Genomic DNA, 13339 nt, shown 5'->3' with positions numbered 1-13339 from the left:
TACCATTACTAACTCCTCAGTCCTTCTTATTTCCCTGTTATCAGTTTGGTATATTTATATATTAGGTTGATCCATATGAAATTGCCAATATTATTTCTGAACTGATGAAAAGCAGCAATTTCTTATGATTCAACCTATTATATATGCCCATAGACTACATATAATGACTTTGCATGTTTTTATATTATAGTGCTATACCTCAAATACTGTTCTGCAATTTATTTTTTCACTCAACAACGTCTTTTGATAATTTCTTTCATGGCAGTCTATACAAGTTTCTACCTCCCTACTTTTAAAATGTTGCGTAATTTTCTAATGTTTGGATTTGTCATTGCTTTACTTACTCCCTAATGATGAATATTGGCATTATTAACACTTGTAGTCATTAGGGTTCATATGACTATAAATTGCTCTTATAAAGCATTAGTACTATCCATTAAAACTGCCTTTAGGCTGGGTGCGGTGGCTCATGCCTGTAATCCCAGCACTTTGGGAGGCTGAGGTGGGCAGATCATGAGGTCAGGAGATCGAGACCATCCTGGCTAACATGGTGAAACCTCATCTCTACTAAAAATACAAAAAATTAGCCAGGCATGGTGGCAGGCACCTGTAGTCCCAGCTACTCGGGAGGCTGAGGCAGGAGAATGCCGTGAACCTGGGAGACAGAGCTTGCACTGAGCCGAGACTGCACCACTGCACTCCAGCCTGGGCGACATAGTGAGACTCTGTCTCAAAAACAAACAAACAAACAAAAAAACTGCTTTTAAATGTATTTGTATTGAAAAATACTGAGATGTAGTCCTTCTGTTTAGTTAACCAACCAAACTTCCTTCCTTCTTTTTTTTTTTTGAGACAGGGTCTCGCTCTGTCACCCAGGCTGGAGTGCAGTGGCGTAATCTTGGCTCACTGTAACCTCTGCCTCCTGGGTTCAAGTGATTCTCCTGCCTCAGCCTCCTGAGTAGCTGAGACTACAGGCGTGTGCCACCACGCTTGGCTGTTTTTTGTATTTTTGGTAGAGACAGGATTTCACCGTGTTGCCCAGGCTGGTCTCGAACTCCTGAGCTCAAGCGATCCACCCACTTTAGCCTCCCAAAGTGCTAAGATTATAGGCATGAGCCACCACACCCAGCTGGTTAATCTTCTTTCAGTTGTTCCTCAAGAAAAGTAATTCAGTTGTTTTATGTTTTGACCTTGAACATAACCTGTTGTGTTTCAACTCTGTCTTTCCAGGCTTAGGTTGTAAGCTTTTTAAAGAAAGAGGATTGTATTTTATGATTTTGGCAATGCCCTCCTTGTCTTCTTCTACAGCTTCTAGTTCAGAGCTTTGTTTTGTTTCATAATCACTCTAGAAATTATTAACAAACCAGTGGGTACTTAGTTGATTTAGTCAAATAGAACTAAGTCCAGACTGAGCAATATTGGTTGATAATCATATGGCTAATACTGAAATTTTGATGTTATTCAAAATAATATTCTAAAGCAGTGCTAATAGAAATATAATGAGAACCACATATGCAATTTAAAACTTCCTAGTAACCACATTAAAAAGTTACAGTGAGCTGGGTGCAGTGGATCATTTGCGGTCAGGAGTTAGAGACCAGCCTGACCAATATGGTGAAACCCCGTCTCTACTAAAAATACAGAAATTAGCTGGGCATGGCGGTGGACAACTGTAATCCCAGCTACCTGGGAGGCTGAGGCAGGAGAACAGCTTGAACCAGGAGGCAGAGGTTGCAACGAGCCGAGATCGCGCCATTACACTCCAGCCTGGGCAACAAGAGTGAAACTCCTCTCAAAACAAAATAAAGATTATAGTGAACAGGCGAAATTAATTTTAATGCCTTCCATTTCGACCGATATATCTAAAATATTACCATTTCAACACGTAATATGTAATTATGTGCTGTATTTTATGTTTGCAGGACATCTCAGTTCAGACTAGCTACATTGCAGATCCCAAGTGTGTGTCATTAAAATAGTGATAGATTTGTGTGGGTACATACATATATTATCATTTATAGTTTCCTGATTAGAATTCTGCATAATCAAGTCTTACTAAGACAGGTTTATTATATTTTCTCATTACTTCTTGGTCTATAGGAATTCTACCTCTAAAGAGAGAATTAGGTGAATAATAAAATGTCACGACTCCATTTTACGGTAGTATCTTAGCATTAATATTTGGAATTGTTATTCTAGACCTTAGCCAAAATATATGTTTTGATTATGAATTTTCTGAAGCTTTCCAGTTAAGTGTAAAACAAGTGAAAAATATAACTTCGTATTCTGTGTATTTTGCTTTTTATAGGTGTCTACTGCAGATATTTCATCAAATAAGGATGATGAAGAAAACTCTATGCACAATACAGTTGTGTTGTTTTCTAGCAGTGACAAGTTCACTTTGAATCAGGTTTGAACTTGACAATTTACTGTCTTCCTCATTGAATTCCTCCTTGCACATTTCTGCTTTATCTCATATACACAGAAGTCATTCAATATTTAGCTATAGAGCTATATTAGTTAAGAAGGTATTTTTAAAGTAAAATTTGTAGGTTTTTAGCTTAGTCTCCATTTAAAATATGTTCTGTTTTCTTAACTTCAGGATATGTGTGTAGTTTGTGGCAGTTTTGGCCAAGGAGCAGAAGGAAGATTACTTGCCTGTTCTCAGTGTGGTCAGTGTTACCATCCATACTGTGTCAGTATTAAGGTAAACATCCTTAAATTGAGTTAACAAATATGTATTGAATTTTTATTTGGTTTTAGTAGTAACATGAGCTCCCAGTTCTCACAATTAAGTATTATGATTATTAAACATATGTGACAGTATTTAAATACTTAAAATACTGCTTTTAAGGGTTTCCTATCTCAAGAAATTTGCTCCTCTATAAATCTTATATTGTACAATATACTTGTCTTGAAAAAGTAAAACATAAAAATATATGCATTTAATTTAAAAGACAATTTATAGTATTCACAAAGATTTTAGGTTTAGCTAATTCATTTTGTCTGCTGATTTAAAAAGCTGAGAACTGGAATATTTAGTAAAAAATTATTAGCCCATTCTGTTCTTTCCCGCATTCTCTCTCCTCTATGCTCACTCGTATACAAAATGACATTTTCTCCTTATAGCCAAAAGAAACAAAACAAGTGTCATATTTAATGCAATTGGTAATAATCGAGAGTCAGCGCTGCTCACTTTGAAGCATTTCAGGATAGAGGCTTTCTGGGGAACCTTTTAAGTGGTATCGTGTGCTTGGTTTTAAATATGGACAGGTCTCAATACTTCACTAGTTGTATCTAAGGTTCTTGGTTTTTTCTTTTTAAGAACTCAGTCTTAATAAAACTTACATATTTGAATAAAGTGTCATGGCCACTGGAAGCAAGCATGGAGGTATAGCTGTACAGCAGAGGTCTTAAACTGTATACTCCACAAGGAAATCTTTTCTAGTACTGCCATACCATGTAATATAAATACTAACCTCAGTTTCAGTAACAGGTTGTGAACCATGAGTGATTTTTATACCTTTCTCCCCTGCCCTTCAAACATCACTGTATTATATCATTGTCAGTAAAATGTCAGTATAGTAAGCAAATCAACATTATCTCCTTCAGAATTCTTTGTTGATAACTACACTAGTATTTATTTTATAGGGTAATACAGGTTTTTGTGAGTTTAGGAATCAAAATGAAAGATTGTAATTAATACTATCCAAAATAGAAGACTAGTACGGTTAATTTATGTAGTCTTTTAAAATTAGTTGCTCATGGTATGTGACTGAAAAACACAGAGTATATAAAGCCAATTAAAAAATAGAGTTATATATGCATAAAACATGTTTCTTTTCTTCTTTGTACTTTATATTCTGTATAAAAGTTGCTGCTATCATTAGATTTTGTTTTTTAGAATACTTAATGTTTTGGACCTAAGGAAATTGAATAAGATCCCTTTCAAGATAGTAATGTATTTCTTTTAACCCATCCAACAATTACCGAATTCCCATTTTACAGATGAGTACGACTTACATAAGTTAAGATTGGACAATTAGTGCACTATCAAACACATAGTTACTGGTAGAGCTAGAATTTGAATTCCTGTTTTTAAAAATTATGTATGGTTCCTTTTGCACGATGACACTGTTTTGGACAGTATAGAATACTGCAGTCTCATTGAGAAATACAGCAGTATCTAGAAATATACTAGGGATATGTGAATTGGCTCAGCTTGCATTTTTATTGTAGGAGGCAATTGTTTGTGGATAAGTTTGATACCTTTGAAGCTTCTTTTTAAGCTTGCTGGGGCAAGTCTAGAAAGTCTTCACTCTAAGGTGGATATTTTCAAACTTTATGGTTTTAGAACCTTAACACTCTTTAAAATTACTGGGGACTCCATAGTTTTTGTTTATGAGGATTTTAACTATGGACTGTTCAGCATTTTAGAAATTAAAACTAGGAACATTTTATAACACAAGACTACAGAAGCACAACCTGTACAATATCAATGTAATATTATGATACAACATGTAGCCTCTATAAACACCACTGTATAATTGTGAATGAATTAAAGTGAAAAAAGGCAAATTAAATCTTAGTATTATTTAAACTTGTTTTAACTTTACAGACTCACTGGGGTTCCCTAGACCACATTTTGGTAGCTGCGGTCCTAGCATTAATTTAACCCTATACTTAAGACTTGGCCTTTCTGGGATCACTACTGAATTCTGCTCCCTGTTCACCAGTGTCTTTGTACTCTGACTGGTTGTGCTTCACTTGTCTTTGAGCCTTTTGCAAGCTGTGGTAATTGTGCAGCTTACAAATTCCCAGTAGATGTACTTTCCCCTGGTTGTGGGTCTTTGGGCTTCTAGAAGTACGGCTTGGTGTTCCACCAAAGACTTCAGGGGATCCTTTGTAGATTTCTGGAGCTCTTAGTCGTTATTGCTTCTTCATTTTGAGTACTGTGTCCTGCAAATTCCACTGCCTTGCCTTCCCTAACCTCAGCGAGGCCATTGATTGTACTCTGCTGAGGTTCTCCCTCCCTGGGCAGCATTCTGGAAAATGTTTCTAGGCAGAATATCATAGGACTCCCTGAGTGTTTCCTTCCTCTCAGAGACCACTGTCTCCTGTACTATGTGTTGTCCAATATCTGAAAACAGTTGTATCATACACTTTGTCCCATTTTCTACTATCTTATGGGAGAACAGGCTGGTCCCACCTACTCCATTATAGTTGAAGCGTGTATCCGTATTAGATTATAAAACATATCTGTAACAACTTTGGACATGGTACCATGGATGGAATCCTGGATGACATCTTATTTGAAAAAACTTTTAAAACTAAGGCTAGACTGGTTCAACGGAAGAAAAAAATGATAGTACAACCCCAGTACCTAGGTTAAAAGGAAATTTCAAAGAGGGAGAAATTGTTGAAGTGTTGAAGTACTAGAAGTCAAGAAACACAAACACTAATGTTTCCATTAGATTTGAGAATAAGAAGGTCTTGACAAGCCTGGCTTAAGCAGTTATGAGTGGATGTGGGTGTAGAGACCAGACTGTAGTGTTTTGAAGAGTGAATATAAGCTGAGAAACTTGAGAGTTTGGTTATAAAAGGGACCACAGGTATCTGTGAAGAAAACTTAGTAGGAATGAAGATAAATATTTTTAAAATTCTGCCACTGAACACCTCAGATCTGTCTGCCACTTTATCTTCAGGTCATTGTTTAAGCCAGGGTCACGCAGACTGGCCCATAGACTAAATCTGGCCCATTTCCTGTGTTTGCAAATAAACTTTTATTGAAATATGGCCATGTTCTTTTGTTTACATATATTTGTAGCGGTTTTTGCATTACACTGGCAGAGTTTTTATAAAGTTGCAACAGATCATATGGCCCTCAAAACTTTCTGTTTACTCTCTGGCCCTTTATTGGAAATGTTTGCTGGCTACTGCCATAAGCCACCCTGATCTTACCCCTAGGCCATTTCCTTCATTTGGGCAAATAATACATTAACTTGGTAATCTAAGACAAATTCTTAAAAATCAATAAGCTAATCAAAATAATAAATATACATGTTTAAAAATCAAATGACATTAAAAGCCTTGTAATGGGCTGGGTGTGGTGCCTCACACCTGTCATCCCAGCACTTTGGGAGGCCGAGGCAGGTGGATCACTTGAGGGCAGGAGTTCAAGCCAGTCTGGCCAACACAGTAAAACCCCATCTCTACTAAAAGTACAAAAATTAGCTGGGTGTGGTGGCTCATTCCTGTAGTCCTAGTTACTCAGGAGGCTGAGCCAGGAGAATTATTTGAACATGGGAGGCGGAGGTTTTAGTGAGCTGAGATCACACCACTGCACTCCAGCCTAGGCAACAGAGCAGAGCAAGACTCCATCTCAAAAAAAAAAAAAAAAAAAAAAAAAAGGCCTTGTAATGAACAACCAACTCTTGTCTTACTCTACCTCCACGTCTGAGGCAGTCGCTTTTAATCTTTTCAGGTCTTTTTTTCTTGTGGTTAATGCTATAGCTCTAAATAATCAACTGGTTTACTGCTTTATCAATGCTAGATTTTGTTGACTTTCTGCTATGAATAAATAAATTCTGATTTAGGTCTTAAAATACACCTCCATCCTTCTCCCAATATAGTTGTATTACTATGTTTAGTTCAATTAATAAGGTGTTGGTTATGACTCAGTAAATGTTCACTGCAGGTCTAAACAGTATACTATGAGTTTCTTTTGTCTTTCATGGAGTTTTTTATAACAAGAAAGTAATAGTGACTCTCCATTCGTTCTTTGTTTTTGCCTACTCTAGAACTATCATATAAGATTAGTTTTTAAAGTACTGTTTTTTTCTGGGAGAAGTCCTACCCTCCTTCTAGACATTCCCTTCTCCTGCTCTGATATGTGCCAGTGGCTTCTAGGTATGTTGTTCTCATCCTTAAACTTCCTGGCCTGATGTCCTTTGTTGGATCTGTTGATTTATAGATCCCAAGTCTTCCTATTCTTTATAATACATCCTCATTCTGTTCCGCATATCTCTAAGTAACTTTATTAGAAAGGAGAATGAGGGAGCTGAATTTTGAGTCTTCCTGTGTCTACAACGTGTTCTGTCTTCACACATAGTTGCTTGTGTAGCTAGGTTGAGAATTGTACTTTGAAAAGTATTTTCCTGTAGAATTGGAAACTTATACTCTTCTAGCATCTGGAGTTGGGAAGTTTGGTGCCATTCTGATGGGTGTTCCTTTGAATTTAACTCTTTTATTTTCTTCTCTGGTAGCTTTTAGGCTTTCATGTACCTCATGATCTGAATTTTTATTCTGTACCCTCATTACTTGCTGTTTTATTATAATGTGGGCACTTGATTGGTTCTGTCTGAGGATCCTAGTCTTTTGAGATCTTTAAGAAGTTCCACAATCTTAATATTACATGGTGTGGCTTCCTTCAGGAGTTTATTAGGGATTTGGAGATTCCCAAATATTCTACTAACTTATACCCTTGAGAGAGGGGAGAATAAACAGAGGAGTGAATGTGAACTTCAGAATTCCTAGCTTCATAGTCTAAATAGAAATCCTCTAAGATCATAAAATGTCCCTAAGAACTCATGCCTTACATTAATTTTTTTGGTATTTTTTCTATTGATTCTAAGCATGGAAATGTAGATGGAGATTTTGTTGATGTATTTTCAAATTATGTATCAATAATAGGGAAGCTTACTTGATTTCTTTAAAATCTGGTCACTATATCTATAAATATAGTGGACATTAAATGTACAGCATAAGGTAATTATGTGGACTTTAAAAAGGCGTTAAAATATGTGCCATTTTCTATTATTCTGCTCAGTAGGCTTCTAAAAGCGTGTATGAACATGCCCAACCCAGTATTGGGCCTCCGTAGGTGCTCAATAAATGTTAGTTGATTGCCTCTTTTCTGCTTCTAGGTACATAAGCACCATATTAATTTATATAGTATATTTGATTATGTTAGGTTAATGCATAAATCACATGGATTGGTTGTTTCTTTTACAGATCACTAAAGTGGTTCTTAGCAAAGGTTGGAGGTGTCTTGAGTGCACTGTGTGTGAGGCCTGTGGGAAGGCAACTGACCCAGGAAGACTCCTGCTGTGTGATGACTGTGACATAAGTTATCACACCTACTGCCTAGACCCTCCATTGCAGACAGTTCCCAAAGGAGGCTGGAAGTGCAAATGGTACTCTAGGGTTTGTTTGCCTTGTTAGTCTTTCAAGTTCAGAGCTTTCTCATACCACTTTGGTTTTTAAAAATTAGCCACACCTATTTAATTGAATAATACACATATTCTATGATAGATACCAGTAATCAGAAAAATTTTCACATACACATTAAATCATTTCCCCCATTATGTTCGTATGTAGCTTCCTGAATTACAGTAACTGAGTAACTAAGAAAATAAAATTGAGACTTTTCGGGGGGATTTGGATTTCAGGTGTGTTTGGTGCAGACACTGTGGAGCAACATCTGCAGGTCTAAGATGTGAATGGCAGAACAATTACACACAGTGCGCTCCTTGTGCAAGCTTATCTTCCTGTCCAGTCTGCTATCGAAACTATAGAGAAGAAGATCTTATTCTGCAATGTAGACAATGTGATAGGTATTGTGCTATTTTTTCATCTTTTTAAAGCTTTTCTCTTTGAAATGTAGCAAAAAAAAAAACAAATGGAAAATAGCTTTTCCTTAATCACAAGTTTTAGGTACAGAACTTTTTGCCTTGTAGATTTTTAGTCACCTAGAAACTTACAGAAGCGATTTCCTGTTTTGAATTCTCAACTCCGGACTAAAATTTTGTTTTGTTTTGTTTTTAAATTTAGAGACAGAGTCTTGCTCTGTCACCAGGCTGGAGTGCAGTGGCGCTATCTTGGCTCACTGCAACCTCCACCTCCGCCTCCTGGGTTCAAGCGATTCTCCTGCCTCAGCCTCCCGAGTATCTGGGACTACAGGTGCATGCCACCACGCCCAGCTAATTTTTGTATTTTTAGTAGAGACAGGGTTTCACCATGTTGGCCAGGATGGTCTCCATCTTTTGACCATCTTTTGACCGCCCGCCTCAGCCTCCTAAAGTTTTATGATTATAGGTGTGAGCCACTGTGCCCGCCCAAGACTAAAGATTTTTAATTTAGGCCTTTTTGAGGGTTTAGGAATCCCTTGAAATTAGATGGAGAATTATTGCCTTCATCTATGCCGTTTCTTATGAAGGGTTTCTGAATCTTCTAATAGATTATAAAAAATATCTAACACATTCTGTTCTCCTTAAACCACTTTTTCTTAAAGCTCTAGATACTAGATATCTAGATATTAGATAGCACCTTCTGCCCTCCCTACGTAATTATGTGGAATTTCATAATCAAGAATGTTTCCTTGCTTTCATTGGTATATTGTTGTACTCTTTAGAAGTTAAGAAGTGAACATATATTATTAATAGTATTATTTTATCAGTAGTACAGTATTCTTGGGACTCTGGCTACTAATTATTTGTTCCATTGCAAGACAACTTTTTACTTAATTTCCCGATTACCATTCAACATCGCTTTCCGTGAGATATGTCTACTTCAAGTTAGATGCATTACCTGGAGCACATACCTGCTAGCACTGCCATTTGCAGTTTTCTGAATACCTTTGTGTTTGCCCTAACTAGCTTCCTTTCTGTCTTTGAAATATTTAATATATGATGATAAAATAATTAGCTTCCTTATGTAATGTGCTTTGCTTCCTCTCTAATAGTTGTTCTCATTCCTTTTTATTTCCTTCTTAGCTGTATGAAAGTTTTTCTGTTAATAGAGATAGTTAGGAGAAAAGGGCAAGGTAGGAGGAGCATGTGAGGCTTAGGGCTTTTAAGTTTGAAGACTCAGTGTTACAGGTTTTAAAAGGTAGCAGTTCTCAGTATATTCCATTTTTTAAAAAAAATGTACAAATATGGTCTTTTTAGATGGATGCATGCAGTTTGTCAGAACTTAAATACTGAGGAAGAAGTGGAAAATGTAGCAGACATTGGTTTTGATTGTAGCATGTGCAGACCCTATATGCCTGCGTCTAATGGTAAGAGAATAATTTAAACTGTGAGTCTGCACTCTTGTACCACTCACTTGCACCTTACTGTCCATAACCAATGAATTAGCTTAGCTCTACTCTATTTTGTCTTTGTGAAACTTACTTTGACAAGTATTTTATGAAAAATATTATTTTTGGTTATACATGACTTATCACAACTTGTTATAAAACAATTTACATGAAACAATAAAAAGCATATACTTTAGATGTAAACTATAATTTTGCTTCCAAGGAACATGATCTTGTAGTTATTGACAATATGTCAGAATCCAATATGTTGATTGTTTCTTAGCCAGGTTTTCCTCCATGACTTGAGTATTTCCTTCATCACTTCTTGTTTTGTTGTTGCTTTAAAAAGCACTTTTAACTTTAGTGTTCAAACATTTATTTTAATAAAATGAGTATAGAAACAGAAATTATAATCATATATAAGTATTTAAATACACTTTACCTTTTCTGAAAAGAATTACCTGGATTTTTTTTTTTCGTTTCAGTGCCTTCCTCAGACTGCTGTGAATCTTCACTTGTAGCACAAATTGTCACAAAAGTAAAAGAGCTAGGTAAAATTTGAAATGCTTTACTTGATTTAATTAATTTACTTTGCTTAATTTTTACATAATTGGCTTACCACTTGTCAAACCTGCTTCAATCATATGGGTGTTCTATCCAAATTCTGTAATGTTGGTAATCATTTCCACAATGATATATAAAATGTCATCCAGCTTTACTGGGGCAGTATTCCTATAAATTTCAGCAAGTAGGCAACAAAAATAACAGCTCTTAGAATAACCATTAATGCCATACTTGCTTTAGTTTCATTGATATATTACTGTGCTTAATTATCAGTTAGCAGAAAACACGGCCTAGTTAGCGAACAGATTTCTTTTAGAATTAATTCAATCTCTTAATTTTTAAAATAATTAATAAGCCTAGTATGGTGATTCATATGATATTCTTATTAAACAGTCATTCTTTTGAATATTTGTATTTAATAGCACCTGATACAAAAATGTTTGGATAGTACAGGAATTGTTCTAAGGAACAACAGTTTTGTACATTTAAAATTAAATCTGCAGGATTTGTACTTATTTATTACTTCTCCCTATTAGTAATTATGTTGATACTCTGATTTTTCCAGATGAGCTTCTGGAGTATTCTCTCTTCTCTTACGTAAATAGATCCCTGCCTTTTGATCTTTTCTACGAAGAAGCTCATAGTGGATTAGCTGAGCATTGCATTTAGTTGCAGTGCTTCTAACTCTTTTTATTGGGACATGAAAATAGAAATTCCAGGAAGACTTTTTTGAGACAGAGTCTCGCCCTGTCGCCCAGGCTGGAGTGCAGTGGCACGATCTCGGCTCACTGCAACCTCTGCCTCCCGGGTTCAAGCGATTCTCCTGCCTCAGCCTCCCGCATAGCTGGGATTACAGGTGCCCGCCACCACGCCTGGCTAATTTGTTGTATTTTTAGAAGAGACAGGGTTTCACTGTGTTAGCCAGCATGGTCTCGATCTCATGACCTCGTGATCTGCCTGCCGCCTCGGCCCCCCAAAGTGCTGGGATTACAGGCATGAGCCCCTGCACCTGGCCCAGGAAGACCATTTTTTAAAAACATGCAACCTTTCTGCCTGTAATCCAAGGAAATTTGACCTATTGTTCATAGTTTTTATTGGGTATCATGAAGTTAATTATTCATGCATTTCATAGATACGTAATTGCTTTCTAGAACTACAGTCACATTCCCTTGACATGGGTATTTTGGAACAGTAATCAGTCAAATTTGAAATGAAAGTTTAAATTTGTATCCTTGGGATTTTGTAATTTTAGACCCACCCAAGACTTATACCCAGGATGGTGTGTGTTTGACTGAATCAGGGATGACTCAGTTACAGAGCCTCACAGTTACAGTTCCAAGAAGAAAACGGTCAAAACCAAAATTGAAATTGAAGATTATAAATCAGAATAGCGTGGCCGTCCTTCAGACCCCTCCAGACATCCAATCAGAGCATTCAAGGGATGGTGAAATGGATGATAGTCGAGGTAATACTAATTTATTTTCCATGAAATATGTGTGCAAGAATTAAAGCATATAAAGTAACTTTTGAAATATGTGTATGATTTACCAAAGGGTAAATCACACTGACTTAGTTAACCCCTGATGTGACTGACCCTTGCCATTTCCAAATGAGTGATCTTCTTAGACCTTGCCTTTTCAGGTTCTCTTCCTTTCACACATTTTAGAACAGACCTACCTTACAGAAATCTCAAGGAGCACCATATCTTTGAAGATCACAGGTGGGGAACTACAGAGGGCTTGACTTTAGTTTGCTAGATAACGACACAAACCTTCTCAGATACTGTGAGCTTGGATAATACCATGTTTCAGTTAAGGTAGTTGATGCATACATTCTAGAAATGGAAAAGCTGTCATTTAATGTTACTTCAGGTATAACTTCATATTCACCAGTGTGCATCATAAAGTATTGGTTTATAAACATTTTCTTGATCAAAGTAAATATAAGGTTTTTCTAGCTGAATTCTTTTTTTTTTTTTCAGTTGGGAGACAGGGTCTTGCTCTGTTGCCCAGGTTAGAGTGCAGTGACACGATCTTGGCTTACTACAACCTCTGCCTCCTGGGTTCATGCGACCCTCCTACCTCAGCCTCCTGAGTAGCTGGGACCATGGATGCGGGCCACCACGCCTGGCTAATTTTTGTATTTTTTTGTAGAGATGGGGTTTTGCCATGTTGCCCAGACTGGTCTGGAACTCCTGGGCTCAAACCATCTGCTCTGCTCAGCCTGCTGAGTTCTTGAGATAGCAAAATATTTTAATAGTAACCCAAAATCCAATATGAGTTAAAGAGGATTACTGTTGGTTTGCTCATTTTTGGGGCGGTTATTTATTTTCAACTGATTCAGAAATGAAGTGATAATTATTTGTTTGATTATATTTTATTTCATAGTTTTTTGTTTTTTTTTTTTAAGGGGCAGTGTCTTGTTACGTTGCCCAGGCTGGTTTCCAACTCCTGGGCTCAAGTGATCCTTCTGCCTCAGCCTCTCAAGTAGCAGGTACTATAGGCATGCGCCACTGCAGCTGGCTTTGAGACAATAGAATTTATTGAATATCTACTGTATGTCAGATGTTGGAAATCATATCAGTGTACAAAGCAGGTAGAATTCTCTGCATAGAGTTTATATTTTAATGTTAGGTAACCCAACTCTTAAAAAAAATCAGTTAATTATAATGTGTTTGGCAAGTCCCATGGTAAAAAT

At 36.7% G+C, this 13339-nt stretch overlaps 1 protein-coding gene across 1 annotated transcript in view; it reads left to right on the top strand.

Annotated features, from left to right (window-relative positions):
• The window catches only part of KMT2C (lysine methyltransferase 2C), a 301079-nt gene that overhangs the window by 203374 nt on the left and 84366 nt on the right, over nt 1-13339 (top strand). Inside the window, exons 17-23 of the mRNA NM_170606.3 lie at nt 2309-2410; nt 2603-2707; nt 8014-8195; nt 8451-8615; nt 9948-10057; nt 10564-10629; nt 11895-12107. Of these exons, the coding sequence (NP_733751.2) occupies nt 2309-2410; nt 2603-2707; nt 8014-8195; nt 8451-8615; nt 9948-10057; nt 10564-10629; nt 11895-12107 (943 nt within the window). The remainder of the gene's footprint in view (nt 1-2308; nt 2411-2602; nt 2708-8013; nt 8196-8450; nt 8616-9947; nt 10058-10563; nt 10630-11894; nt 12108-13339) is intronic.

This window comes from Homo sapiens, chromosome 7, assembly GCF_000001405.40.
Source record: "Homo sapiens chromosome 7, GRCh38.p14 Primary Assembly".
In the NCBI taxonomy this organism is placed as follows: domain Eukaryota; kingdom Metazoa; phylum Chordata; class Mammalia; order Primates; family Hominidae; genus Homo; species Homo sapiens.
This window is presented reverse-complemented; position numbering and strand designations above follow the sequence as displayed.